This window comes from Homo sapiens, chromosome 3, assembly GCF_000001405.40.
Source record: "Homo sapiens chromosome 3, GRCh38.p14 Primary Assembly".
NCBI lineage: Eukaryota > Metazoa > Chordata > Mammalia > Primates > Hominidae > Homo > Homo sapiens.
In genome coordinates, this window is record NC_000003.12 from 111,870,700 (window position 1) to 111,896,865 (window position 26,166).

The 26,166-nt window shown below is 38.2% G+C and overlaps 1 protein-coding gene and 1 pseudogene across 4 annotated transcripts in view; one reads left to right on the forward strand and one right to left on the reverse strand.

The window, feature by feature from the left end:
- The window catches only part of PHLDB2 (pleckstrin homology like domain family B member 2), a 244,022-nt gene that overhangs the window by 138,204 nt on the left and 79,652 nt on the right, over positions 1–26,166 (forward strand). For all 4 annotated transcript variants that reach the window (NM_001134437.2, NM_145753.2, NM_001134438.2 and 1 more), the window contains one exon: positions 13,365–14,713. In NM_001134437.2, coding sequence (NP_001127909.1) covers positions 13,365–14,713 — 1,349 coding nt within the window. The remainder of the gene's footprint in view (positions 1–13,364; positions 14,714–26,166) is intronic.
- LOC124906336 (uncharacterized) lies at positions 8,612–8,716 on the reverse strand (annotated as a pseudogene).

The following is a 26,166-nucleotide window of genomic DNA, read 5'->3' on the forward strand; positions in this document are numbered from 1 at the left end:
AATACCCCCACAGAATTCCTGTAAAGAATGGCACTGCTTCTGAAGGACTGCTCTAAGCTGATGTCTGAATTCAATTACATGTCATCAGTGCATGCTTTATTCATAACATCATCTTATTGTAAACATCAGTGCTGAAAGAGACCAGCCTGTGGACCACCAGTGTGCGGGGAGTGCTTTGAACACCAAGCATCAACCACTGTCTGCCACAAAATGCGGACTCCAAGTCAGCGTCTCTGCTCCATGGCTCTTGCAGGGCATGAGTATAGACTCAAACTTTGTTATAAAGTGGAAATTTTGACCCAAACCCTAATTTTTTTTTTGAAATGAATTTTCCTGAATTTGCTTCTGTAATCTAAATCCCTCTGCATTTTCTCAACAATATGAAACGATTTACAGTTTTCTATCACTTGCTCTTGCAGTCAGTCCCTCTTCGATTAATTCCTACTATATTGATTGGATGATCCTAAGGCAGTGTCTGTATATGACAGTGTGAAATGACAAGTAATACGTTGCATAATTTGGGAATTCTCCATACTCACTTCGTATAAATTACCTGGATAATTGCATTTATGTAGGCCAGACTTTAAGTCCCTCTTCTCTAACACAACACAGCACAATACAACAGACATTTAAATTTGTTTCTTTGCTTTTAAAACTTTGTTCTTGGCCCGGCATGGTGGCTTATGCCTGTAATCCTAGCACTTTTGGGAGGCCAAGGCAGGTGGATTACTTGAGCCCAGGAGTTTAAGACCAACCTGAGAAACATGGCAAAAACCTGTTTCTACAAAAAGTACAAAAAAAAAAAATAGCCAGGTGTGGTGGCCCATGCCTGTAGTCCCAGCTACTGGAGATGCTGAAGTGGGAGAATGGCTTGAGCCCGGGAGGCGGAGGTTGCAGTGAGGCAAGATTGTGCCACTGCACTCCAGCCTGGGTGACAGACCCTGTTAAAAAAACAAACAAACAAAAAAAACTCCAAAAAAACCTTTGTTTCTTCGGTGTGTTTTCATTATCTTGAAACTCTGATCCCTACAGTTCACAGTATCATAAATTCACTGTTGTCGATTTATAGTTTGAAGGGGATTAGCTTCATTCTGGTGCTATCTGATACAAATGGAGCTGGAGAATTTTATTTCAAAACAGTTACCAGAATTGTACCAAAGAGAAAGGAATCTCCCAAAGAACTTTTAAAAATGATCCCTAAGTTGGTTTTTCAGGTAATTTTATTTTCCAGGGAAAAAGTACTGTGACTTTCTGTGGATATCTTCCAGCGATCTCATCATGACTTCTTGGCGTTTTCTAATGAGGTGATGTAGTAGGTTTCAGGTGATAAAATAACAAGAGCACTGGGTGGATTTAATTTATGGATTGGAAAGTAAATGCAAACATTTCAACGTACATTAACTTCTTTCCTGTTTAGACTTCCCTGTGTTGCCTTTTCTCTCAGATGGGCACCAGATGCATTCGCTTCTCCCAGCCCATTCTGTGGATACATATGTAATAAGGCATGTAGCCATTAAGGCCTTTGGGACTGTTTTCTTTCCACAGTAACATAATGCAGGGATCATATAGTTTCACTGGGACCTCTTTTTTGTTTACGTAAAATATACAGGAAACCCAAAACAAACACATCAGCATAGATCAAGAAGACAGGCTGTAAACTTTGGCATCTTCTTTGCCTCCTCTCTTACACATGTTAACACAGACCTCCCTTCCCCACTTCCCTCCCTCCTGTTGTCACCTTGTCAATGCCTCTTGTGTGCTCTCCCTCACCTCTCACCTTCCTAACTCTGCTTTCTTCCTCTATACTCAGCTGCAGTCTCTGATGTGTGCAATCACGTCCCTCCTGCTCTCATTGCCTAGGGAATTAAAACCAAACTCTTACTGTGTTCTTCATCCTCCTGCCTCTTCTCTCCTTGCCCACACCCTAATCCTCATTCAAAATACACGACTGATGACTGGTCCACATTTCCTAGGAGTTCCTAATGGGATTAGGCCTGCTCACACCTAAAATGAAAAGGGCACTCTGGAAATAGGGAAGGCAAGAGCTATCAGTAGCCGTTGTTGTCACTCATGGGGTCAGAAAAGTCACCCATCTGAATTATTCTGTACCTTTTGAGTTGAATTGATTTGTAAGGTTAAGAGAAATCAAGTTGAAACAAATATACATATACATTCAGCTGTGGCACGTAAACTAAGCTTCAGGAAAATGAATGGATTCCATATTTGTACCTGATGGTAAATCTCTAAATGCAGAACCTTTTATACATTCTAAACAGGACCAATAAGCTTGAACTAAAAAGAAAAAATGGGGTATCAAACACGAATATCCCTTTAAATTTTCTCTGGAATATCCTGCCATCCCAGTCTTCTGTAACTTTCCTCTACAGATATGCATGGCCAAGAAGAAATGGTGCATGGCTGTTTCTAAGATGTGGTTTATTATTTGCAAATATCCTGCTTGTTGCTTCCCTAGAGTTTGTAAAGCCGATCTTTCAGCCAACACTACTTTGGAAAATTCTGCTGTTATATTTTGTTTGGCCAACCAATCTGCTTTGGTAATCATAGTTTCTGGTTTTTAGAAAAAGTGTATATTTGAGAGGAGGAAAAGTGGTGGCACTTCCTGGGGTAGTAGGGAATCTGTATTGTAGTTTAATACTCTATAGTTTCTTTAGCCCAAATAAAGACGGGACAGAGCTTCGTAATATTTTAGTCAGGTGGTTAAGTAGCATTTCCAACTACAAACAGGTTCGAGTATATTAATGTATTTTATCATCTAAAAAATAACATCAGTGTCTTATACTGCTGAGTCAAAAGCCAAACCTTTGAGTATTCATTTTGACATGAGGTATTAAACCCTTCAATTCTTTACTGTAGGAGTAAATATTTAAAATGCAGTTTGGGTGTAAGTGCTTAGCTTTTTATTCTGCTTAGTGACATCTGCCCTGGCTTGCTTTCTGGGTTGCTGTGTCTGCATATTATGGGAATACCCTCAACTTAGTTCTGTTTCCCATTTTGTATATATTTCTTTCAAAGCAAAGTCCTTCTTTCTAACTGGCATTAATTCTTGTCTATTCTAACATCTCAGATTTTTTTTGTAGCCACACCTAAACACTTGAAGGATTACTGTCCAAGTTAAATCACTTTTAGGGGAGGCATGCTGCTTGGACCCAGGAGGGCATATCTTACATGGTGGTGGAGACAGAAAAAGATTTAGAGAACTATAAGCGAGAAATACACGATTATTAAATATAGTTCATACCAGGAGACTTACAGTCCTAGATTTTAAAAAACGGTGTTATAGAAAATAATGATTTTTCCTATATGGATTTGCTTTTTAATTCTATCAGAGATAGGATGTTTGTTGGATGTACCAGTGGTCTGACCTAATATGGGCTTGGAAGTTTGTTTACATCCTTTAACTCACAGAATTTTAGGTGTGCAAGTGGCTTTATGCTACTTTTGAATAATACCAATCAGATTCCCTTCCCTTCAGTGGGCTCCTTCATCATTTCTTTATACTGCAACCTCCTCAAAACTACCACTCTCACTGGATTCGCCCCACTCTGTGTTCCTTTTCCTGTCAACCAAATATATTTAGGCATGCATAGCAATTATTTGTTCATAAATGTGTTTTTCCCTTTGTACTCTAAGCTATGTAAAGGCAGGAAATGATATCTCTTACCGTATGTCTCCCAATGCCTAGCTCAGAGCCTGATTTATATTAGTTACTTAATGAAGATTAGCATCCTCATAGTAACAAAGAAACCCCAAATCTCAGGGGCTGCAGACAATCTTGTGTTGACAAGGACCTTGTTCCATGTCCTCATTCAGGAGTGGGGGTTAACAAAGCCTCTGCAAGCCTGGATGAGGCTAGTTGTCCTAGCAGGGGGGTGGGAAATGGTGACTGCTGCACTGACTCATGATGCTTCAGCTTGGAACTGGCAAGTTACTTTCTCTCATATTTCATTGATCAAAGCAAGGGACATAGCCACACCTAACCTCACAGAGATGAGGAAGAGCAACCTCACTATGTTCCTGAAAGGAGAAGAACTGGAATATTAGTGAGTAACACTAATGCCTGCTAAATAAATGTCTGATAAACAGTAGGCATGGATTTAATGAGTGAAGTGCCTAAAACTACCCATTGAGATTTTTAATTTTTTTCCCTGTACAATAAACAGAACTACTCAAATATGGAAGTAAGGTAGCTACATTCTAAAAAACAAGAATATTAATATTATCTAAGCTATTATTCAGCAAACATCTAGAGACTTTTTATAACAATTCTGTTAGCTTTATTCATATCAGAGAAATATTTGATTTTGTAGTTTTTCAGATGCATAAAGAGTGAAACAGATAAATTCATATGATTAATGTTTTTGCCAGAGTCATTTAGAAGACTTGGAAAAAATGTTGCAGTCTTCAATATTTATATATTAAATTAGTCTGATCAAGACTGTTTTTTTTTGCAATGGAGTTTTGCTTGTTGCCCAGGCTGGAGTGCAATGGCACAATCTCAGCTCACCACAACCTCCGCCTCCCGGGTTCAGGTGATTCTCCTGCCTCAGCCTCCCAAGTAGCTGGGATTACAGGCATGCACCACCATGCCTGGCTAATTTTTTGTATTTTTAGTAGAGATGGAGTTTCTCCATGTTGGTCAGGCTGGTCTCGAACTCCCACTGTTAGGTGATCTGCCTGCCTGGGCCTCCCAAAGTGCTGGGATTATAGGTGTGAGGCACCACGCCTGGCAAAGGAGTTCTTTAACCTTTTTTGGAAAAGTTAATATCTGGCTTGAAAATTGGGCAAGAGCTAAGGAAAAAATCAACTTAAAATGTTTAATTGGCAAGACACAGTGGCTCACACCTGTAATCCCAGCACTTTGGGAGGCCGAGGCAGGCAGATCACCTGAAGTCAGGAGTTAGAGACCAGCTTGGCAAACATGGTGAAACCCCGTTTCTACTAAAAATACAAAAATTAGCCAGGCATGGTGGTACACACCTGTAATCCTAGCTACTGGGGAGGCTGAGGCAGGAGAATCGCTTGAACCTTGGAGGCGGAGGATGCAGTGAGTCGAGAATGTACCGTTGCATTCCAGCCTGGGCAACAGAGCAAGACTGTCTCAAAAAAAAAAAAAAAAGAAAGAAAATGTTTAATCAACTTTAAAATGAAGTGTTGCTACATATTCTAGTATTTTATGGTAAGTGAGTTTTTTTTTCCTGGTTGTCAAAATGGTCCAAATGTATTATATAAAATGTAGAAAATATGAACTAGTATGAGAGAGGTAAGTTAAGTCACTGGTAAAACTGCCATCCAAATAAAATCACTACTGATTTTTTTGGTGTGATTTCTTCCAGTCCATTGTTATTGTTATTATTGCTGTGGAAGAATAGGCATATTGAGGAGGCAAGAGCAGATACTGGCTTGTACTAGAGAGGCTACCATGGAAATGCTAAGAAATTATCAGATTCAGAATGTGTTTTAAGGACAGTGTTGATAGGATTTATTGATGGATAAAATGAGGAAGGGGGTGCTAGTGACAGAGGAGACCAATGTTGATTCCCAGGATTTTGGCTTGACCCCTACCTGTGTGTGTGGTTGGGTGTATGTACAGTTGACTCTAGAGCAACTTGGCGGTTAAGAACACTGACACCCTGCTAAGTTGAAAATCTGCATATAACTTTTTACTCCCCCAAAACTTAACTACTGTTAGTTTACCATTGACTAGAAGCCTTACTAATAACAAAGCCAATTAACACATATTTTAATACAAAATAACACATATTTTATATGTATGATATACTATATTCTTATAATAAAGTAATTTAGAGAAAAGAGGTTATTAAGATGTTCATAACGGAGAGAAAATGTATTTACTTTTTTTTAAGTTATACTTTAAGTTCTGGGGTACATGTGCAGAACGTGCAGGTTTGTTACATAGGTATACACGTGCCATGGTGGTTTGCTGCACCCATCAACCTGTCATCTACATTAAGTATTTCTCCTAATGCTATCCCGCCCCTAGCCCCCCACACCCTGACAAGCCATGGTGTGTGATATTCCCCTCCCTGTGTCCATGTGTTCTCGTTGATCAACTCCCACTTATGAGTGAGAACATGCCGTGTTTGGTTTTCTGTTCTTGTGTTAGTTTGCTGAGAATTATGGTTTCCAGCATCATCCATGTCCCTGCAAAAGACATGAACTTATCCTTTTTAAGGCTGCATAGTATTCCATGGTGTATATGTGCTACATTTTCTTTATCCAGTCTATCATTGATGGGCATTTGGGTTCGTTCCAAGTCTTTGTTATTGTGAACAGTGCTGCAATAAACATACGCTTGCATGTGTCTTTATAGTAGAATGATTTATAATCCTTTGGGTATATATCCAGTAATGGGATTGCTGGGTCAAATGGTATTTCTAGTTCTAGATCCCTGAGGAATCACCACACTGACTTCCACAATGGTTGAACTAGTTTACACTCCCACCAACAGTGTAAAAGTGTTCCTATTTCTCCACATCCTCTCCAACATCTGTTGTTTCCTGACTTTTTAATGATTGCCTTTCTAACTGGTGTGAGATGGTTTCTCATTGTTGTTTTGATTTGCATTTCTCTAATGACCAGTGATGATGAGCTTTTTTTTCATATGTTTGTTGGCTGCATGAATGTCTTCTTTTGAGAAGTGTCTGTTCATATCCTTTGCCCACTTTTTGATAGGGTTGTTTTTTTCTTGTAAATTTGTTTAAGTTCTTTGTAGATTCTGGATATTAGCCCTTTGTCAGATGAGTAGATTGCAAAAATTTCTCCCATTCTGTAGGTTGCCCGCTCACTCTGATAATAGTATCTTTTGCTGTGCAGAAGCTCTTTAGTTTAATCATATCCCATTTGTCAATTTTGACTTTTGTTGCCATTGCTTTTGGTGTTTTAGTCATGAAGTCTTTGCCCATGCCTATTTCCTGAATGGTATTGCCTAGGTTTTCTTCTAGGGTTTTTATGGTTTTAGGTCTTACGTTTAAGTCTTTAATCCATCTTGAGTTAATTTTTGTATAAGGTGTAAAGAAGGGATCCAGTTTCAGTTTTCTGTATATGGCTAGCCAGTTTTCCCAACACCATTTATTAAATAGGGAATCCTTTCCCCATTGCTTGTTTTTGTCAAGTTTGTCAAAGATCAGATGGTTGTAGATGGGTGGTGTTATTTCTGAGGTCTCTGTTCTGTTCCATTGGTCTATCTAGTACCATGCTGTTTTGGTTACTGTAGCCTTGTAGTATACATTGAAGTCAGGTAGCATGATGCCTCCAGCTTTGTTCTTTTTGCTTAGGATTGCTTTGGCTATGCAGGCTCTTTTTTGGTTCCATATGAAATTTAAAGTAGTTTTTTCCAGTTCTGTGAAGAAAGTCAATGGTAGCTTGATGGGAATAGCATTGAATCTATAAATTACTTTGGGAAGTATGGCCATTTTCACAATATTGATTATTCCTATCCGTTAGCATGGGATGTTTTTCCACTTCTTTGCGTCCTCTCTTATTTCTTTGAGCAGTGGTTTGTAGTTCTCCTTGAAGAGGTTCTTCACATCCCTTGTAAGTTGGATTCCTAGGTATTTTATTCTCTTTGTAGCAATTGTGAATGGGAGTTCACTCATGATTTGGCTCTTTGTTTGTCTGTTATTGGTGAATAGGAATGCTTGTGATTTTTGCACATTGATTCTGTATCCTGAGACTTCGCTGAAGTTGCTTATCAGCTTAAGGAGATTTTGGGCTGAGACGATGGGGTTTTCTAAATATACAATCATGTCATCTGCAAACAGAGACAATTGACTTCCTCTTTTCCTAATTGAATACCCTGTATTTCTTTCTGTTGCCTGATTGCCCTGGCCAGAACTTCCAATACTATGTTGAATAGGAGTGGTGAGAGAAGGCATCGTTGTCTTGTGCTGGTTTTCAAAGGGAATGCTTCCGGTTTTTGTCCATTCAGTATGATATTGGCTGTGGGTTTGTTATAAATAGCTCTTATTATTTTGAGATACGTTCCATCAATGCCTAGTTTATTGAGAGTTTTTAGCATGAAGGGCTGTTGAATTTTGTCAAAGGCCTTTTCTGCACCTATTGAGACAATCATGTGGTTTTTATTATTGGTTCTGATTATGTGATGGATTACATTTATTGATTTGCATATGTTGAACCAGCCTTGCATCCCAGGGATGAAGCCCACTTGATCATGGTGGATAAGCTTTTTGATGTGCTGCTGGATTCGGTTTTCCAGTATTTTATTGAAGATTTTTGCATTGATGTTCATTAGGGATATTGGCCTGAAATTTTCCTTTTTTGATGTGTCTCTGCCAGGTTTTGGTATCAGGATGATGCTGGCCTCATCAAATGAGTTAGGGAGCATTTCCTCTTTTTCTATTGTCTGGAATAGTTTCAGAAGGAATGGTACCAGCTCCTCTTTGTACCTCTGGTAACATTCAGCTGTGAATCCGTCTGGTCCTGGACTTTTTTTGGTTGGTAGGCTACTAATTGCTGCCTCAATTTCAGAACTTGTTATTGTTCTATTCAGGGTTTGACCTCTTCTTGGTTTAGTCTTAGGAGAGGGTATGTGTCCAGGAATTTGTCCATTTCTTCTAGATTTTCTAGTTTATTTGCGTAGAAGTTGGTACTCTACACATTCAGAGAAACTTCTCTAGTAATGAAGTATAGAAATGATCCCTGAAAGTATAGTCTTATATTTACTATTTATTAAGTGGAAGTGGATCATTATGAAGGTCTTCATCCTCTTCGTCTTCATGTTGAGTAGGCTGAGGAGGAGGAAGAGGAGGAGCTGGTCTTGATGTCTCCAGGGTGGCAGAGGCAGAAGTGGAGGAGGTAGAAGGGGAGGCAGGAGAGGCAGGCACACTCGTGTAACTTTACGCCTTTTTGTAAAGTGTAACTTTTTTGAAGTGTAAAGTTACACTTTACAGAAAGTAAGCTTTTTACTTTTTTTATTTCTCTAAAAATGTTTTTTTATGGGACCAATCCTTCTTCAGCCATTTGCTATAGTTCAGTGCCTGTATCATAGAAGGGTCCACGTTGTAAAAGAAGGCAAAAGCAGTCTCGAATAATCAGAACCCTTCTGCCAGATTGTGTAATGTCAGTTTGTTTTCTGGTACTGCTTCTTCTGTATCTTCTTCATCATCTGACAGTGGTTTAGAAGCACTTTTCTCTATTAAGTTGTCCTCTGTTAATTCCTCTTGTGTGGTGTATTAGCTGTTGAATTTCCTCAAGACCCATATCTTGAAACCCTTTACCCACTGCCTTTTTTTTTTTTTTTTTTTTTGGCCATATCCACAGTCTCTTTGGTGATTTTCTTGGCTGGCTGTGTTGTAAATTTTTTGAAGTCATTTACAACATCTGGACACAGTTTTCTCCAGCGGATATGTATTATTTTAGGCTCCATGGCTTTCATGGCCTTTTCTATAACAATGATGGTGTTGTCAATAGGGTAATACTTCCAGGCTTTTATGCTTTTCTCCCTATCAGCGTTCTCTACCATAGCATTGACAGTGCTTTCCATAGGGTACCATAATGAGCCTGAAAGGTCGTTAGGACCCCCTGATCTAAAGGCAGAATTAGAGATATGTTTGGGGGCAAGTAGACCACTCTGATGCCTTTGGTGTTGGACTCATGGAGTTCTGAGTGGCCAGAGGCATTGTCTAATGTCAAAAGAACTTTAAAAGGCAGTTTCTTACTGGCAAAGTACTTCCTGACTCCAGGGACAAAGCATCAGTGGAACCAATCCAGGAAAAGAGCTCTCATTGTCCAAGCCTTCTTGTGGTACAACTAAAAAACTAGTATTTATGTTTTCCTTTGAAGGCTCAGGGTTAGCGGCTTTATAGAGGACAGTCCCGGTCATAACCATGACTGCATATGCACAAAGTGGTAGAGTAAGTCTGTCCTTTGCTGCCTTAAATCCTTGCTTCTCTTCCTTACTAGTGAATGTCCTTTGTGGCATTTTTTTTTTTTCAAGATCGGGCAAATTTTTTCTGCGTTAAAAACCTGTTCATCCAAGTGCTTGGGAGTTGATTAAAAAATATATAAATAAATAAAAACAATGAAACTACCCTGTTCAGGCAGACATCCTTTCTCCTCAGGGAATTTATATGGTGTCTGGGAACTTATCTGCTGCCTCTTGGTTAGCAGAAGCTGCTTTTCCTGTTATCTTGCTATTTTTTCGGCCAAATCTGTTTCTAAAATATCAAACCATCCTTTGCTGGCATTAAATTATCCAGCTTTAGATTCCTTACCTCCTTTTGCTTTAAGTTGTCATGTAATGATTTTGCCTTTTCTTGAATCTTATTAGAGTCTATAGGTATGCCTTTTTTATAGCAATCCTGTGCCCACTTAAAATGTGCATTTTCACTATGAGACTCAAAGTTATCTCACAAAAAGTATAAAATTTTCATACCTGCTGGCATAGCTGCAGTGACAACTTCACAATTTTCCTTTTCTTTTCTTATAGTGGTCCTTGTGCTGGATTCATTTATTTTGAAATGGCAGGCAACTGTAGCTGCAGGCCTCAATCTCTGGTACATATCAGACAATTCAATTTTTTCTTGCAATGTTGTGACTTGTCTCTGCTTCCTGGCAGCACTTCCAGCATCACTAGTCGCACTTCGTATGGGTCCCATGGTGTTATTCAGGGTTTATAGTATTACATCAAATGTTTTAAAAATACTTAAGAACCATGAGATATAACTTATTACTGCAATATTAAATTTATGGGAGAGATGAACTGCTCATGCAGAGGTGATTAGCATCACATGGCATTTTCAGTGAATACCTGCAACACTTGAGTTCACTGCAGTAGCAACAGGGGGTGTCCACAAAATTATTACAGTAGTATAGTATGTACTACAGTTAATTTTATGCAACCATGATATAATATCATATTTTTATGTTTGTTTATATTTCTCTGTACTGAGAATGGCATCATGTGTAGTCTGTGTTACTTTTCATAAGACATCTGTATATATTTTATGGTTGTAAATGATGAAATAGACTAGTAGCCACAAATATTTTATGCTCATCACATACCTCACTTTTCTTTTTTTTTTTTTTCAGTATTTCTAGGCTACACAGTTAGTGTTTTCAAATTATTGCAAATCTCCAAAAAATTTTCCAGTATATTTATTGAAAAAAATGTTGCATGGGTAAGGGTACCCATGTAGTTCAATCCTGTGTTGTTCAAGAGTCAACTGAATAAGAAAATGACACTCCTTGTATTATATACAGAAATATACCTGTGTGTGTATAATCCATGTGTATGGGTGGGTGTTGTAAAAAAGCTGCCCTGATTATATATATGTTTTTTAAAACTAACAACATTTTATGAATGTACTTTTTATGCTATAAAATGTACTTCAAAATATGATTTTAAATGATTGTACAATATTCTCTCATGATGTATTATAGCTTATTTAATTTTTTCCCTATTATTTGGCATTTATGGTATTTTCCCATTCTAATAAATAACACTGAAATGTCCTCAGGATCCATCTATTTCCTTGTTTTTTCACTTCCAAAATATTTAACTTGAGAGAATTGTCCAAGGCTTGCTGGAATTTCAGTATGGCAAGCCAACGAGAGGTGATGTTAGTTCAGAATAGAGGAGTCTCAGTTTCAGTCCTCTAAGCGGGCATGGTAAGATATTTCTCAATCCAGGCTGGTGTTGCTTTTAAAACCAGAATTGATAGCAGTAGACACATGCTGAGAAGAGTATTTGTCTTGGAGGCAGAAAGGGCACTGTCCTGGAGGAAATGAAAGCCTTACCAAGAGCTAGATGGCAGGACTAGATCCCAGCTGGGAGCCAAATATAATGAAGAAACTTCATTTTTTTCTTGAGGTACATTTAAAAAGATAAATTATGTTTGTATCTATCTGGGCAGGGCTTTGGGTTAGAGGAGAAGGAGCCCAAGGCACCTTTATGGACAGTTGGGTACCTGGCCCATCACCAGGATTTATGCAGCCAGACTGTTTCTTGGCCTTCTGGATAAAGAAGCAGCTCTTTACTAGGCTGCCTGAATTTGCTCACAAAGTGTGTGAAGCTAAGCAACAGGGTGAAGGTCCTTAATCCATGGCTGAGAGGGAGTGAGGAAGGCTTTGATTAAAATGGAAAGCTTATGTTCATCAAGTTTTTCACCTATAGGACAACAAGAGCTAGAGGGGTGGAAGATAAAAATACTAGACATAACCTCTTCCTTAAACTTGTGGCCTAGTTACAGAGACAACCACATTATGAAACCATTACTAACCATATGTGATACTGTTTATATATAGACCAGAGATGTCATAATTAGTGTCTGATGTGCCTAAGGGTTGGAGGACAGTTATAGTGGTTCATGAGTTCAGTGACAATGTTTAAACTGTATTTTCCCTTTGCTGATAATCTAAGAAAATTTTTTTTTATCAGGTAGAATTATAAGCCTTCCCATTTGCAGTAATAGTTTGTAATTCAAAGACATTTTCATTGGCTAAAACTTTAGTGTTTTAAGTTAACATTGTGCAAACCAGGGTTCAAAACATATTTTCTTAAAAATTTTAATGGTGGAAGATAGAATCCTGATCTGTCCCTGGAAGAGTGACTAGGTCCTGATAGTTGTTTCTGCTAGAGGAGAGAATTTGCAAGGATGAGCATAGTGCATTTGGGGTACTAGAAAATTTAAAGGATATAACAGTTTCAGGTTTTTAAATATACCATCCCGACCATGTGTCAATAATTGGTGGAATACCCTTTTCTTTGTTATTACCTACCTCTGATGACTAAAGGAGCTTTAAGTCTTTTTGTTGAGAAGGTAACTCCCAGAGTCCTTGTTTAAAGAACCATCTTCTAACCCTCATGTTATTGATCAGTGTCTAACGTAAACTTTTTTTTCTCTGCCCAAATGTGAATTTTGTTTCCTCAGGACTTTATTTCTGAACAGTTAATGATTCTAGCAGAGACAGCTATAGGAAAGTCCATTGCATTATGCCTTTGGGCATTAGCTAGTCACTAGGGAAGCAGGTGTTCCTCGAAGGGCCAGAACATTAAGGACAAATTGTCTTTTTTAATGTACCAGCCTAATCCTGCACCTTTACTTGGTTAGGGATTTGTTTCGCTCAAATGTCATTGCTGTCCTTTTATTTCTCTTTTGTACATAAGTTATCTCAGGTCAATGATCTTTATTCTCCTTTAATTTGCTGTATGGTTTTAACAGGTTTTTTAGTAAAACTGAGTTTGTGTTTGTTAGTTGCATTAGGTCAGACTGCAAGATTGTTTGTTCAGATGTAGGCCTAACAAGGGATTGTTCTTTTAAAATCTTCTTTAAGGCAAAATTTTCTGTTTTATTTCTTTACAGATTCCAGCAAGATTATGGAAGAGCATAGCTACATACAAAAGGAGCTAGATTTACAAAATGGTAGCTTAGAGGAAGACTCTGTGGTGCATTCTGTTGAGAACGATTCCCAAAACATGATGGAGAGCCTCAGCCCAAAGAAATACTCTTCCAGTCTGAGATTTAAAGCCAATGGAGACTATTCTGGCTCCTATTTAACCCTCTCACAACCTGTGCCTGCAAAGAGAAGCCCTTCTCCTTTGGGAACCAGTGTCAGAAGCAGCCCCTCCTTAGCCAAAATCCAGGGAAGCAAGCAGTTCTCTTATGATGGAACTGACAAAAATATTCCTATGAAACCTCCAACTCCTTTACTCAACACTACATCCTCCCTCAGTGGATATCCACTTGGAAGAGCAGACTTTGATCATTATACTGGCCGGGACAGTGAAAGGGCCTTGAGGCTCTCAGAGAAGCCTCCCTATTCCAAATATAGCTCAAGGCATAAATCGCATGACAATGTCTACTCTCTTGGAGGGCTGGAAGGTCGGAAGGCATCTGGCTCGCTCCTGGCCATGTGGAATGGAAGTTCCCTGAGTGATGCTGGCCCGCCTCCTATCAGCAGATCGGGAGCCGCAAGCATGCCTTCAAGCCCAAAGCAAGCCAGGAAAATGAGCATTCAGGACAGCCTGGCGCTTCAACCCAAGTTAACTAGACACAAGGAGCTTGCATCTGAAAACATCAATTTGAGAACTAGGAAGTACTCCAGCAGCAGCCTGAGTCACATGGGAGCCTACAGCCGATCACTTCCCAGGTTGTACAGAGCCACAGAGAACCAGCTGACACCTCTCAGCTTGCCTCCAAGAAACTCTCTGGGCAATTCCAAACGAACAAAACTTGGGGAAAAGGATCTACCTCATAGCGTAATAGACAATGACAATTACCTTAATTTTTCTTCTTTGAGCTCAGGGGCTTTACCCTATAAAACCTCTGCTTCTGAAGGCAATCCTTATGTAAGTTCTACCCTCAGTGTCCCTGCCAGTCCACGAGTGGCTCGGAAGATGCTTCTGGCCTCCACCTCCTCCTGTGCCTCTGATGACTTTGATCAGGCTTCATATGTGGGGACAAACCCGAGTCATTCACTTCTTGCTGGAGAGTCAGACAGAGTTTTTGCGACCAGGAGGAACTTCTCTTGTGGATCTGTGGAATTTGATGAGGCAGATTTGGAAAGCCTCAGACAGGCCTCAGGAACCCCCCAGCCTGCCCTTCGGGAACGGAAAAGCAGTATTAGCTCCATTTCAGGACGTGATGACCTGATGGATTATCACCGGCGGCAGAGGGAGGAAAGACTCAGGGAGCAGGAAATGGAGCGATTGGTAATCTTCATCTCAACAGTGATTGACCTCACTGTTTCATTAACCAGCATCTACAGGGCAGCCTTGGAGATGGACTCCAGGATATGTGGGAATATAGGATATTCATGTTCACTAGCCACAGCTGCTATCTTTCTCTTCTCTCCTGCTATCCTTCTTCTTCCCATATCACTATTAATAGGCTTGTTTGGCTATCTTGAAGGCCTCCAGGAATTAATGTTAATTTAGTTGCTCTGCGGACTTCTCACAAGTATAAATTCTTTAAAAACATAACAGAGGAGTTGGGAATTTTATGAAATTTCTGAGTCTTACAAACTTCTCTTTAAGACTATGAGGAAATGCTGACTTGTATTATTTATATCATTAAATTTGCTTGTGTATGGTTATGAGAAGTAGTCAGTGAAATCATGACTCACCAAGAATTAGGTAGTAAATTTGTCTTTATAGCAAGTTGTCTAGAAAGTTGGAGTTGCCTCAGTGGTGCTCAGCTTTTCTCCACACTGTTCATACACAACCTTACTATCTTTAGCTCTGATTCTTATCACGTACAGTGATTCCAAACTACACATACTCACAAGATCTATTGAGTTGTCTTTTTCCATTTAAAATGAATTTATACTTATTGTTGAAATATTGAAAATAAGACGGGGAAACATCCCTTGAGAGTCTCACCAATGAATGAGAACAAACAACTGCATTTTTCCTTTCTCTTTTAAGCACAGGTTTTTCTCTTAGAATGAATATCTGTGAGAGATTACTTTGATTCATTTTTGATTCATGATTTCCTTAACAAGAGAAGCTGCAGGATAGTAAAGCTGATTTACAGCAACACAGTAGGATTATCAGTGTTTTAGTCGCTAAAATATTCTAGAATATGATTTTTGAATCACAAAACTGGTTGATACCCTATAGGACAATAAAATTGTAACCCAGGCTTGTCCAACCTGTGGCCTGTGGGCCGCACAAGGCCCACAATGGCTTTGAATGCCACCCAATACAAACTCAAAGTTTCTTAAAACATTATGAGATTTTTTTTGCCTTTTTTTTTTTTAAGCTCATCAGCTATCGTTAGTGTATTTTATGTGTGGCCCAAGACAATTCTTCTCCAGTGTGGCCCAAGATTGGACACCCCTGTTGTAACCTTTGGATTATAATGGACAGAAACCATTTGCATCCATCCAGAAGGAAATACGTTTGACATTTTAGAGCAGTAATCATTTGCATCACTCATAGTTTTTGATAAGTTGATGTCTGTTCTTACAGAGTTTTCAAATACCCTAACTGACAATAGTGAATGAAAACAAATGTGCATACCCTTAGAGAATTTAGACAGTCTTTGAGTGGGTCAGTTATACAGTACTCAGTATGACTTTCCTCTTTATTACCATAAATAATCTCTGCAGACTGTTCATGGTCACAAAATGGCATTGTGTTTGGGCTTGCTTCATTGACAGAAATTCAGAAGATGTTTTAATTAGCATACAAAAGTCTTGTATATGGACAGCAAATAGAATGCTATACCATGCAGAGCAACTATTATTTATAAAGCCAGAATATTAACTTCTATCCGATAACTTATCAAGAAATCTGGGAGAGCATTTTTAATGGCTTCCATTACTCCGGACATCTTCCTTAAATGCTTCTATTTGCTCTTCTGTTCCAAGGATAGGGAACCAAATTCAAGAAATTCATCTCTGCTAGGTTTCATGTTCAGCATCTCTAAGTGTTGGTGAATTTCTCTTTCCTCCAGATTTTCCAAATCTGGTATGGTTCTTGGCAATCCAGGAAGTGACCTTCTGTACTGCCTGTAAGGTTGGGCCTGTTAAGTCATAAACAGTTTTGACTTCTTGGGAGAGCTTTGTGGATATTGCTCTAAATATGAAGTTATATATTTTTTCTTTAATAGTGGGCGTATCGTATTTGTTGAAATGAGGCTTATTTTTAAATTTGACACTCTAGACTTGATCTTGGTTGCATGGTCTATTTGTTTGACTACATTGTGGTAAAAGGGATGACGGATTCTTATCAAGCCTATGCAAAAGATGATATTGCCATTAAAAAGTAAAGTGACTCAAATTACTTCCTGAATTCTGAGAGATCAGTGAGAACAATTTACCATTAAAATAATATTTCATTTAGTTTGCAAAATCAGAGTTAGCTGAATAGAGGATTAGAGATAGAGCAGTATGAATGCCAAAGGGTTTTCCCCCTGAAAAAATAAAACATTAAAAATAATACTAGTAATATTCCAAAACATATATCCACATTTAGAAATTCATTTTTTATTATCAATTCAATCACTTCTATGTAATTAATTCTTATTCCTCTGTATCTTAGGCTCTTAATTTGGTTTCATGAAGTCATCTATTTCTAGACTAAAAAGTCCTGAAAATCTGATGTGGCTGCCTAGTACTATCTCATTTTTGTCTATGCAATTCTTTGAAATATTTAGGGTTAAGAATACCTGGTAAAGTTCTGTCCACAAGGTTCTAAAACTGTCTTTTCTTCATTAATGAGATATTGTATTTTGTAGACAAGCTCACAGAGAAAGTAGAGAACACTTGGTGAATGTAAGAGTTAAGTGGCTATGGTTATTTATGGTTAATTTAACAAACAATATCAGCATGAAGGAGAGTTAAAATCCTTTAAATCAGTTTTTTAAGAACATATTACAGAGAGTGAGGGCACTGACATATATTCAGGGTCTTTGTGTAAAGTACCCAATCTTTGAACATTACCTATAATATTAAAAATATTATTTTACCCGTACAAAATTATCTTAAGGAAGGGCAACTTTCTCATTTGATTTGAGAAATTTTTAGGGGCACAGTGAACAAACCTAATTATTTCTAGCCTCTTTCTTTTTGTAAAATTAAAGACAAATCTTTGTGATTGCCCAGAGGTTCTCTGGGAAAACCTAAAAGTAGTTCAGGAATAGATATCTTGGAAATTATATTTTTTTTCTGTATTTAGGGTCTGCCTGATCTTGAAGGCAAAATCAGAGATTTTGTCACTTGAGTAATAAAGAATTGTGTATACCTGAGAGTAGTGAATGTTTGTGGTTTGGCTATTTAAGAAAATGGCAATAGATTATTTTATGATGAGCAAGAAAGCTCAAATCATTCAAAAATGAAGAAAACTCTTTGCAAGAATATATTCCAATCATCGCAAAGCTCAGGAAGTTACACTTGTAAGGTACTAATCTCTGTTCTGTGGGCAGATTAGTACTGCCTTTTACAAGCATAGGCTGATTTCTCCAAGATCAGTCTGTCATTTCAATAGAGATAACTGCATTTTAGTTTTACATTAACAGGGTGCTTGTCATATATTACATTTTTAATGCATTACATTAAACATACTTTATGAATAATTGCATCAAAATCATGCAAACTTTGCCAAATTTTTAAAATTTTATTACTTCTTTATAGCCTTTTTATTTGCAAGCATTATAAACCAAGTTAAATCTAACTCCCTTTTTGCAAATCTGCAATTTTCTGTTTCCATCAACTTCTGCCCTTCATTGTTCTCTTCCACATTCTGGAACAACCAGACACTAAGACAAAAATACTTAAAGGTATCAGAAATTATGTTCAAGCTAACACATCACAGAACATAATTACTGATAATGTGAAAAGGTTTGTCACAGTTATAGTTCAGTTTAGATGAGCACAAAGTTTATATTTTTCTTAATTTTATAGAAGTAATCTTAGCTTATGTTTTTAGCAAACTAATATAAGACAGTTTAAAAGTTCAGGTAAACTAATCTCTTCATCATAAAACATTCAAGTTTTTTTAAAAAATGAGATTATACTTGTATTATACTGTACACTGATGAAACAAGGAAAAGATGTGTAGCTGTTTTGTTGTTGTTTTTAAAATGTATTTTTTTCTTAAAAGTTGTATTTACCCATGACACAGCCCCAGGAGATCCTGACAACATGTGTCCCTATAGCTGTTTTTAAAACCAAATTATCAAATCAGGTCTTTTTTTTTTTAAGAGAGCACAGTTAGGCTGGGTGAGGTGGCTTACACTTGTAATCCCAGCACTTTGGGAGGCCAAGGTGGGAGGATCACTTGAGTCCAGGAATTTGAGACCAGCCCGGGCAACATGGCAAAACCCTGTCTCTACAAAAAATACAAAAATTAGCTGGGTGTGGTGGTGCACACCTGTAGTCCCAGCTACTTGGGAGGCTGAGGTGGCAGTATTGATTGAGCTCAGGAGATTGAGGCTGCAATGAGCCATGATCATGCCACTGAACTCCAGCCCAGGTGGCAGAGTGAGACCCCATCATTAAAATAAGCACATTTAAAGCATTGGAATTTCACAAAATTTATTTCAAGAAAATAAATTCTTGAAATTCTGGGAATGTTAAATTTATCTAACTACTTGATAATCTCTATAAACCAATCAGAACAGTAGGCCTTCTCTGTTTAATTTATTATTATCCTCGGGAGTTAGAAAAATACTTCACCTACAAACAGTGTTCCCCACCCTGCCCCCAGGTAGAAAGACAGATGAAAGGTTTATGGCTTAAGTCCTACAGCTCCAATTACAGATCAAAAGTGAACACTAGAACACAAAATCTCACTTTTCCAGATCTCAAAAGACTGATTGCTTTTCCATCAGGCACAAAATATATTCCTGATCTGAGTACACAAATAGAAAAACAAATTATAAACAACAACAACAACAAACAAATACTCTGTCACCTCTCACCTGACCAAGACTGGATTCCGATTCTACCTGTCAACTCACCACGTGGTCAGATCGTGAAACCAGATTCCTAGTCATGGCTGCCACCAATGGAGATAACTGTCAGTTGTATGCAAACCAAAACCCCAGTGAAACTTGGCCAAGGATTAGAAACAAAAACTAAGACAGACTCAGTAAAACAAAAGCTAAAGAGATTAGCGAGTCAGTGAAGGTGATGTTCTACTGCCATTTGTGATTTACCTCAGAAGCCAAGAAAAGATGTGTCTGGGCATCCAGCCCATGAGATATACTTCATGGGCAGTGCAATTTAATTGACTGGATAGAGTGAGTCACTTGCACATTTTATTAGGACCTCCAAATTGTCAAAGCATAATTTTCAAAAAGTAAACGCAACTCTTATATAAATGAAGAATGAATAGATGCCAAAGATTTCTTTAACTCATTAATGAGGAAACCAGGTGGGGTAAAGCTGGTTCACTAAGCATAATATCTGTAATATTTTTAGGTCTGCTGTGATTCTACTAGTGTTTCACCTGGATTTTTTTTAATGTGTTCAATCTTTATTTGAAAACTCAAGGTAGTTTTATTGAGTATTAAAGATCGAACTGTAATTATGTATCTCCAAGGGCCTATTAATGAGGTAAATAATCCACTTTGAGTCCGTATTAAATAACCTCCAGCTGCTGTGCTATTTGAGATGTTTAGTTTGTTCCTTTTTTAAAAAAATAATTTTACTTTTTTGGTTTTGCTCTCAGCTGCCAATTCATGCTTTGGTCATTTTTGCCAGCCTTTTCGTTTTTTATGATCTTAGAAACCAGTTATCAAGCCTTGATTTGAAATGTTCTGAACTAAGAGTGACTAAGTACAAGTGAGGTTCTCAAGGAGGTCCTGAGCACATGAAGTGTGTGCTCTTTAGTTCATAGACCTTGTGACATCCATTTGGACTGGTTGGTGGTCATTTTAACTTCCTCACTCTGAGCTATGTTTCAAGTAGAGGACATTAATGGATAAGGTGTTGCTAGAGGGCTGGGATGCTGATTCTTTGACAAATTAGATGTTCTAGAGCATGGGTCACCAACCCCTGGGCCATGGGCCACAGACCAGTAGCGTTTGTGGCCTGTTAGGAATGGGGCCGCAGAGCAGGAGGTGAGCGGTGAGCCAGCAAAGGTTCATTTGTATTTCCAGCCACTCCCCATCACTCACGTTACTGCCTGAGCTCCAACTCCTGTCAGATCAGTGGTGGCATTGGATTTTCAAAAGAGCATGAACACTATTGTGAACTGCTCATGTGAGGAATCTGGGTTGCGCGCTCCTTATGAGAGTCTAATGCCCTGATGATCTGTCACTGTCTCCCATCACTCCCAGATGGGGCCATCTAGTTGCAGGAAAACAAGCTCAGGGCTCCCACTGATTCTACATTATGATGAGTTATATAATTATTTCATTACACATTACAGTGTAGTAATAATAGAAATAAAGTGCCCAATAAATGTAATGTGCTTGAATCACCCCGAAACCATCCCTCCCCCATGTCCATGGAAAAATTGTCTTCCATGAGACCAATCCTGTTGCCAAAAATTTTGCGGACTGCTGTTCTAGAGGTTAGAAAAGTCATTATAAAGTAGGGTATTCTTGTATTCATCCTATTTGACACCTGCCTTCCTCCAAGTAGTCCAGAGGTAGTGATGGCCGTCTAGAGCTTTTTATGGTCCAAGGCAGTGAAAGTCATTTTCAGAAGAAAAGGGGAAAATTAAAAAATGAAAGCAAACCCTGATGCTTTTAAGAGTATTCATTTGGTTACGTTGCCAAAAGCATCTTGTTCTTTTGTGGAGAACCAGTGGATTCCCACAAATTGCATTGTAGCCATCCAATATTTTCTTTCTGACTGGTGATAGTCGTCTGTAGTGCCTTGGTAAATAGCATTGTTGCCATTTAGAACTATGCAGGGCCACATTGATACTTATTTCTCAAACATGTTGTAATGTGATACCAGCTCTCATGAAGCATCATGGAGTAAGTTTTTCTGATTTTTTACACACATACGAATTTTTTCCATTACATATGGATTCCTTGAAAATAAGGTTGGCTTTCTTTTAAGGCACATATTAATGTTTCTGTGGTAGTTATGCGAATAGGTGAAATGTCTGGGTCAGCAATTCCTACCATTGAAGGTGTTTTGTCCTTATAGTTCCCATGAAAGCACTTTATAACTATATAATTTTAATCAGTAAGAGGCTGGGACCATACCTATCTTGCTCACCACTATAGATGCACCTCCTAGCCAGATGACTAGAGTATAGGAAGCATTCTTTACATGTTTTTAAAAAGAGTAATTGAATGTTTTTGATACCCATTCTTGACATTTATTCTGGGTTTCCTTAATCTGTGACTGTAGTTTGCATCCCTGGTTCCCAGATGATAAGCATTTAGTTCTAGGTAATAGAGAAGCTCTATACAAAAAATGAAGATATCTCAGTATAAATGCATTCTTTTTTACTTCCAGAAAGGGGAAATTCTTTTCCAACTTTCAATTAAAAATAAAAAGATGAAAGAGTTATTTTTCTTTACTTTGAAGATTTTCTAGCATTCTTTGTAAGAATTGGTGCTCTCCAAGGTCGTACAAAAACCAAAGCTACAGGTCTGAGAGTCTTGCTTGTGTACCATTGAGCAGATGATAGATCTAATGTTTCTAAAATTAAGTAAAAGACTAATTGAGCATATTTGTTTAAGGATTTTTGGTATTTTATAAAATAAACTTATATGTTCTCTAATCTCTGAAACGTGGTCAGATGCAGATGCTATTTTAAAGACCAGAAAATAAACAGGTTGGTATTATTTAATGTTGTAATTAGGAAAAATTGTTTAGGAACCCAAGACTAGTGAGCGTTGTCAGGTCAAAGTGACTCCACATGTAGATTTTTGCTTCTCTATTTGCTTCTTGCTGTCTCTATTTCCTAGTGAGTCCTGACCACCCCCCCAAAATAAGTTGGGCATTCAGACCTTTTTGGCTATGTTGAGCCATATTATAAGTTTGACAATATTTTTTGTTTGAATAGCAGAATGGACAATGTTAAGAGCATGCTTATTGTTGCTTAGTCATAGTATTAATCTTTTTTTTTTTTTTAGAAGAATGTCTTTGAAATGTGAAGGCAAACTTAAGTATTGAAAACTATTTTGTCCTCCAGTCTTACTTGAATCTCCTTCCTGATGTGGCCCTTCCATTTGCTACATCCTGAGTATAATTTTAATTTATTAAAAAAATGGCTGCACTAGCTGGAAGAAGCCAGCTAAATTGCAGATGGTGTGAGAGGTTTGTTTACCAACCCAATAAACTTAGTGGCTCAAGACTTTTGAAAGGATCTTGAGAAACAATGGCTCTCTTCCTATACTCTGAGCTAGAATGGCCATTGTCAGGTACATAAGTTGATTTAATCTTCAGATTCAGCCTAAGCCTTAAGCTGAATTTTTGCTGTGGAGCCTTTTCTTAATTTCCCTAATGTTTAAAATAGCCAGTCAATTCTCTACCTTTTTTTTTTTTAACTTTCCTACCTTGTTTGGAGGGTTTATCAGATTTAGCTCAGAAATATGATGTGAGCCATGAATGTCATTTTAAATTTTTTTATGTTAAGGTAAGCAAAAAAAAAAAAATCCAGGTGAAATTAGGTATAATATATTTGACAGCACAGGAGTAGATTGACGATGCTACCCACTCCCTAAATTAGCAATCTATTCTCTAAGTAAACAGCACTATTTCTTTTTTTTTTTTTTGGATTTATTTTTATTTATTTATTTATTTTTTATTATACTTTAAGTTTTAGGGTACATGTGCACATTGTGCAGGTTAGTTACATACGTATACATGTGCCATGCTGGTGTGCTGCACCCACTAACTCGTCATCTAGCATTAGGTATATCTCCCAATGCTATCCCTCCCCCCTCCCCCCACCCCACAACAGTCCCCAGAGTGTGATATTCCCCTTCCTGTGTCCATGTGATCTCATTGTTCAATTCCCACCTATGAGTGAGAATATGCGGTGTTTGGTTTTTTGTTCTTGCGATAGTTTACTGAGAATGATGATTTCCAATTTCATCCATGTCCCTACAAAGGACATGAATTCATCATTTTTTGTGGCTGCATAGTATTCCATGGTGTATATGTGCCACATTTTCTTAATCCAGTCTATCATTGTTGGACATTTGGGTTGGTTCCAAGTCTTTGCTATTGTGAGTAATGCCGCAATAAACATACATGTGCATGTGTCTTTATAGCAGCATGATTTATAGTCCTTTGGGTATATACCCAGTAATGGGATGGCTGGGTCAAATGGTATTTCTAGTTCTAGATCCCTGAGGAATCACCACACTGACTTCCACAATGGTTGAACTAGTTTACACTCCCACCAACAGTGTAAAAGTGTTCCTATTTCTCCACATCCTCTCCAACATCTGTTGTTTCCTGACTTTTTAATGATTGCCTTTCTAACTGGTGTGAGATGGTTTCTCATTGTTGTTTTGATTTGCATTTCTCTACTGACCAGTGATGATGAGCTTTTTTTTCGTATGTTTGTTGGCTGCATGAATGTCTTCTTTTGAGAAGTGTCTGTTCATATCCTTTGCCCACTTTTTGATAGGGTTGTTTTTTTCTTGTAAATTTGTTTGAGTTCATTGTAGATTCTGGATATTAGCCCTTAAAGTAAGTACATTTTTTGTCACTGGGTAATATAAAGAAAAATGTTATCTGTCATCAGATCACCTTGGGTCATTAGAGAATAAAGCAAGGACTTTCTCTCTACAAATTGCTGGTTTGCGTGTGTGTGTGTGTGTGTATGTATGTATGTGTGGGTCTGTATGTGTGTATATGTTGATTAAATATTAAAGGAATTAATCATTAGCAAAGTTGGGCTGCCAATTGTCCTCCATTAACTGAGAGTGAAAAAAAAAAAACGGTTGTCATACCTTTTTTCTTTCTTCTTCACTTGGAGAGATGGGCAGAAAAGCAGTGAGAAGGAAAAATTAGCATTTGGCAATAATCTAATGACTTCACATTGGGGAAACAGAGCTAAAGTCTTCATGAAATTCTATATTGCAGTAGTCCATTCTTGAGAGCAAACCCTCTGTTCTTATAGTAGCAGTACAAGCTATTGCCTCTTGATGGTGCCATGCATTAAAGAATTTGAGAGATGTATGTTCTGACTCTTCACATGGTTCAGCTTTCTCAGGCTAAACGCTGAAATATAGAAAGCAACTTGGACTAAAAAGAGGCCCTGTATGCCCCTGTGTCAGTTATAGAAGAAGTCTCATTCTTTTTTAAAATCATAAATAAATATATGAACACTTGTTTCTTAAATAAGAAATAAAGATCATAAATAAAATTTGTAGAAAGAAATATAAACTAAATAAAAACTGAAAATATATCAAGACCAACAAATATATAGGAGTGGAGGCCAGGCGTGTTGGCTCACGCCTGTAATCCCAGCACTCTGGGAGGCCAAGGCAGGTAGATCACCTGCGGTCAGGAGTTCGAGACCACCCTGACCAACATGGTGAAACCTCGTCTCTACTAAAAAAATACAAAATTAGCCAGGCGTGGTGGCACATGCCTGTAATCCCAGCTACTTCGGAGGCTGAAGCAGGAAAATCACTTGAACCCATGAGGTGAAGGTTGCAGTGAGCCGAGATCGAGCCATTGCAGTCTGGCGTGGGCAAAAGAGTGAAACTCAGTCAAAAAAAAAAAATCTATCTATCTATCCATCTATCTATCTATCTATCTATCTATTTATATGGAGATACATTAAGTGAAGGAGGACTATTGATTGTTTCTGGTAAAAGTGGTCCCCATATTTGTTGTCAAATTACTTAGTATATCTATATTTATTTATTATTCTTTTTTTGAGGAGAGTCTTGCTATGTTGTCCAGGCTGGAGTACAGTGGCATGATCTCGGCTCAGCCTGCTGAGTAGCTGGGATTACAGGTGCATGCCACAATGCCCAACTAATTTTTGTATTTTTAGTAGACACAGGGTTTTGCCATGTTGGCCAGGTTGTTCTCGAACTCCTGGCCTCAAGTGATTTGCTCCCCTTAGCCTCTGAAACTATTGGGATTACAGGCGTGAGCCACCATGCCTGGCTTAGTATATCTAAATTTAAAAGCTATTTATTGAGCTACCATTTTAAAAATTTATCATCAGCTAATAGGTTTAGTGATTGTGCTGGCTAATTCTTTTTTCTTCCCCCGCCCCGAGACGGAGTCTCCCTCTGTTGCCCAGGCTAGAGTGCAGTGGCGTGATCTCAGCTCACTGCAACCTCCGCCTCCTAAGGGTTCAAGCAATTCTCCTGCCTCAGCCTCCCAAGTAGCTGGGATTACAGGCAGCTGCCACCATACCTGGCTAATTTTTGTATTTTTAGTAGAGACGGGGTTTCGCCACGTATGTTGGCCAGGCTGGTCTGGAACTCCTGACCTCAGGCGATCTGCCTGCCTTGGCCACCCAAAGTGCTAGGATTATAGGTGTGAGCCACCGCGTCCAGGCTGCGCTGGCTAATTCTTATAATGTGAATTTCTCTTCCCCAGCTTGAGAAAAGATTATGGGAATATTTGCTGTAGAGAATATTCTTAAAGTTGGAAATTGATTTTTCAAAAAAAAAAAAAAATCCAAAACAAGCATTACAAGGGTAACACATCCAGCACTTTTTCTTTTGTTTCAGCCATCTCAATGTGCTAGTTATGAAGGTGCTTATTAGAAGT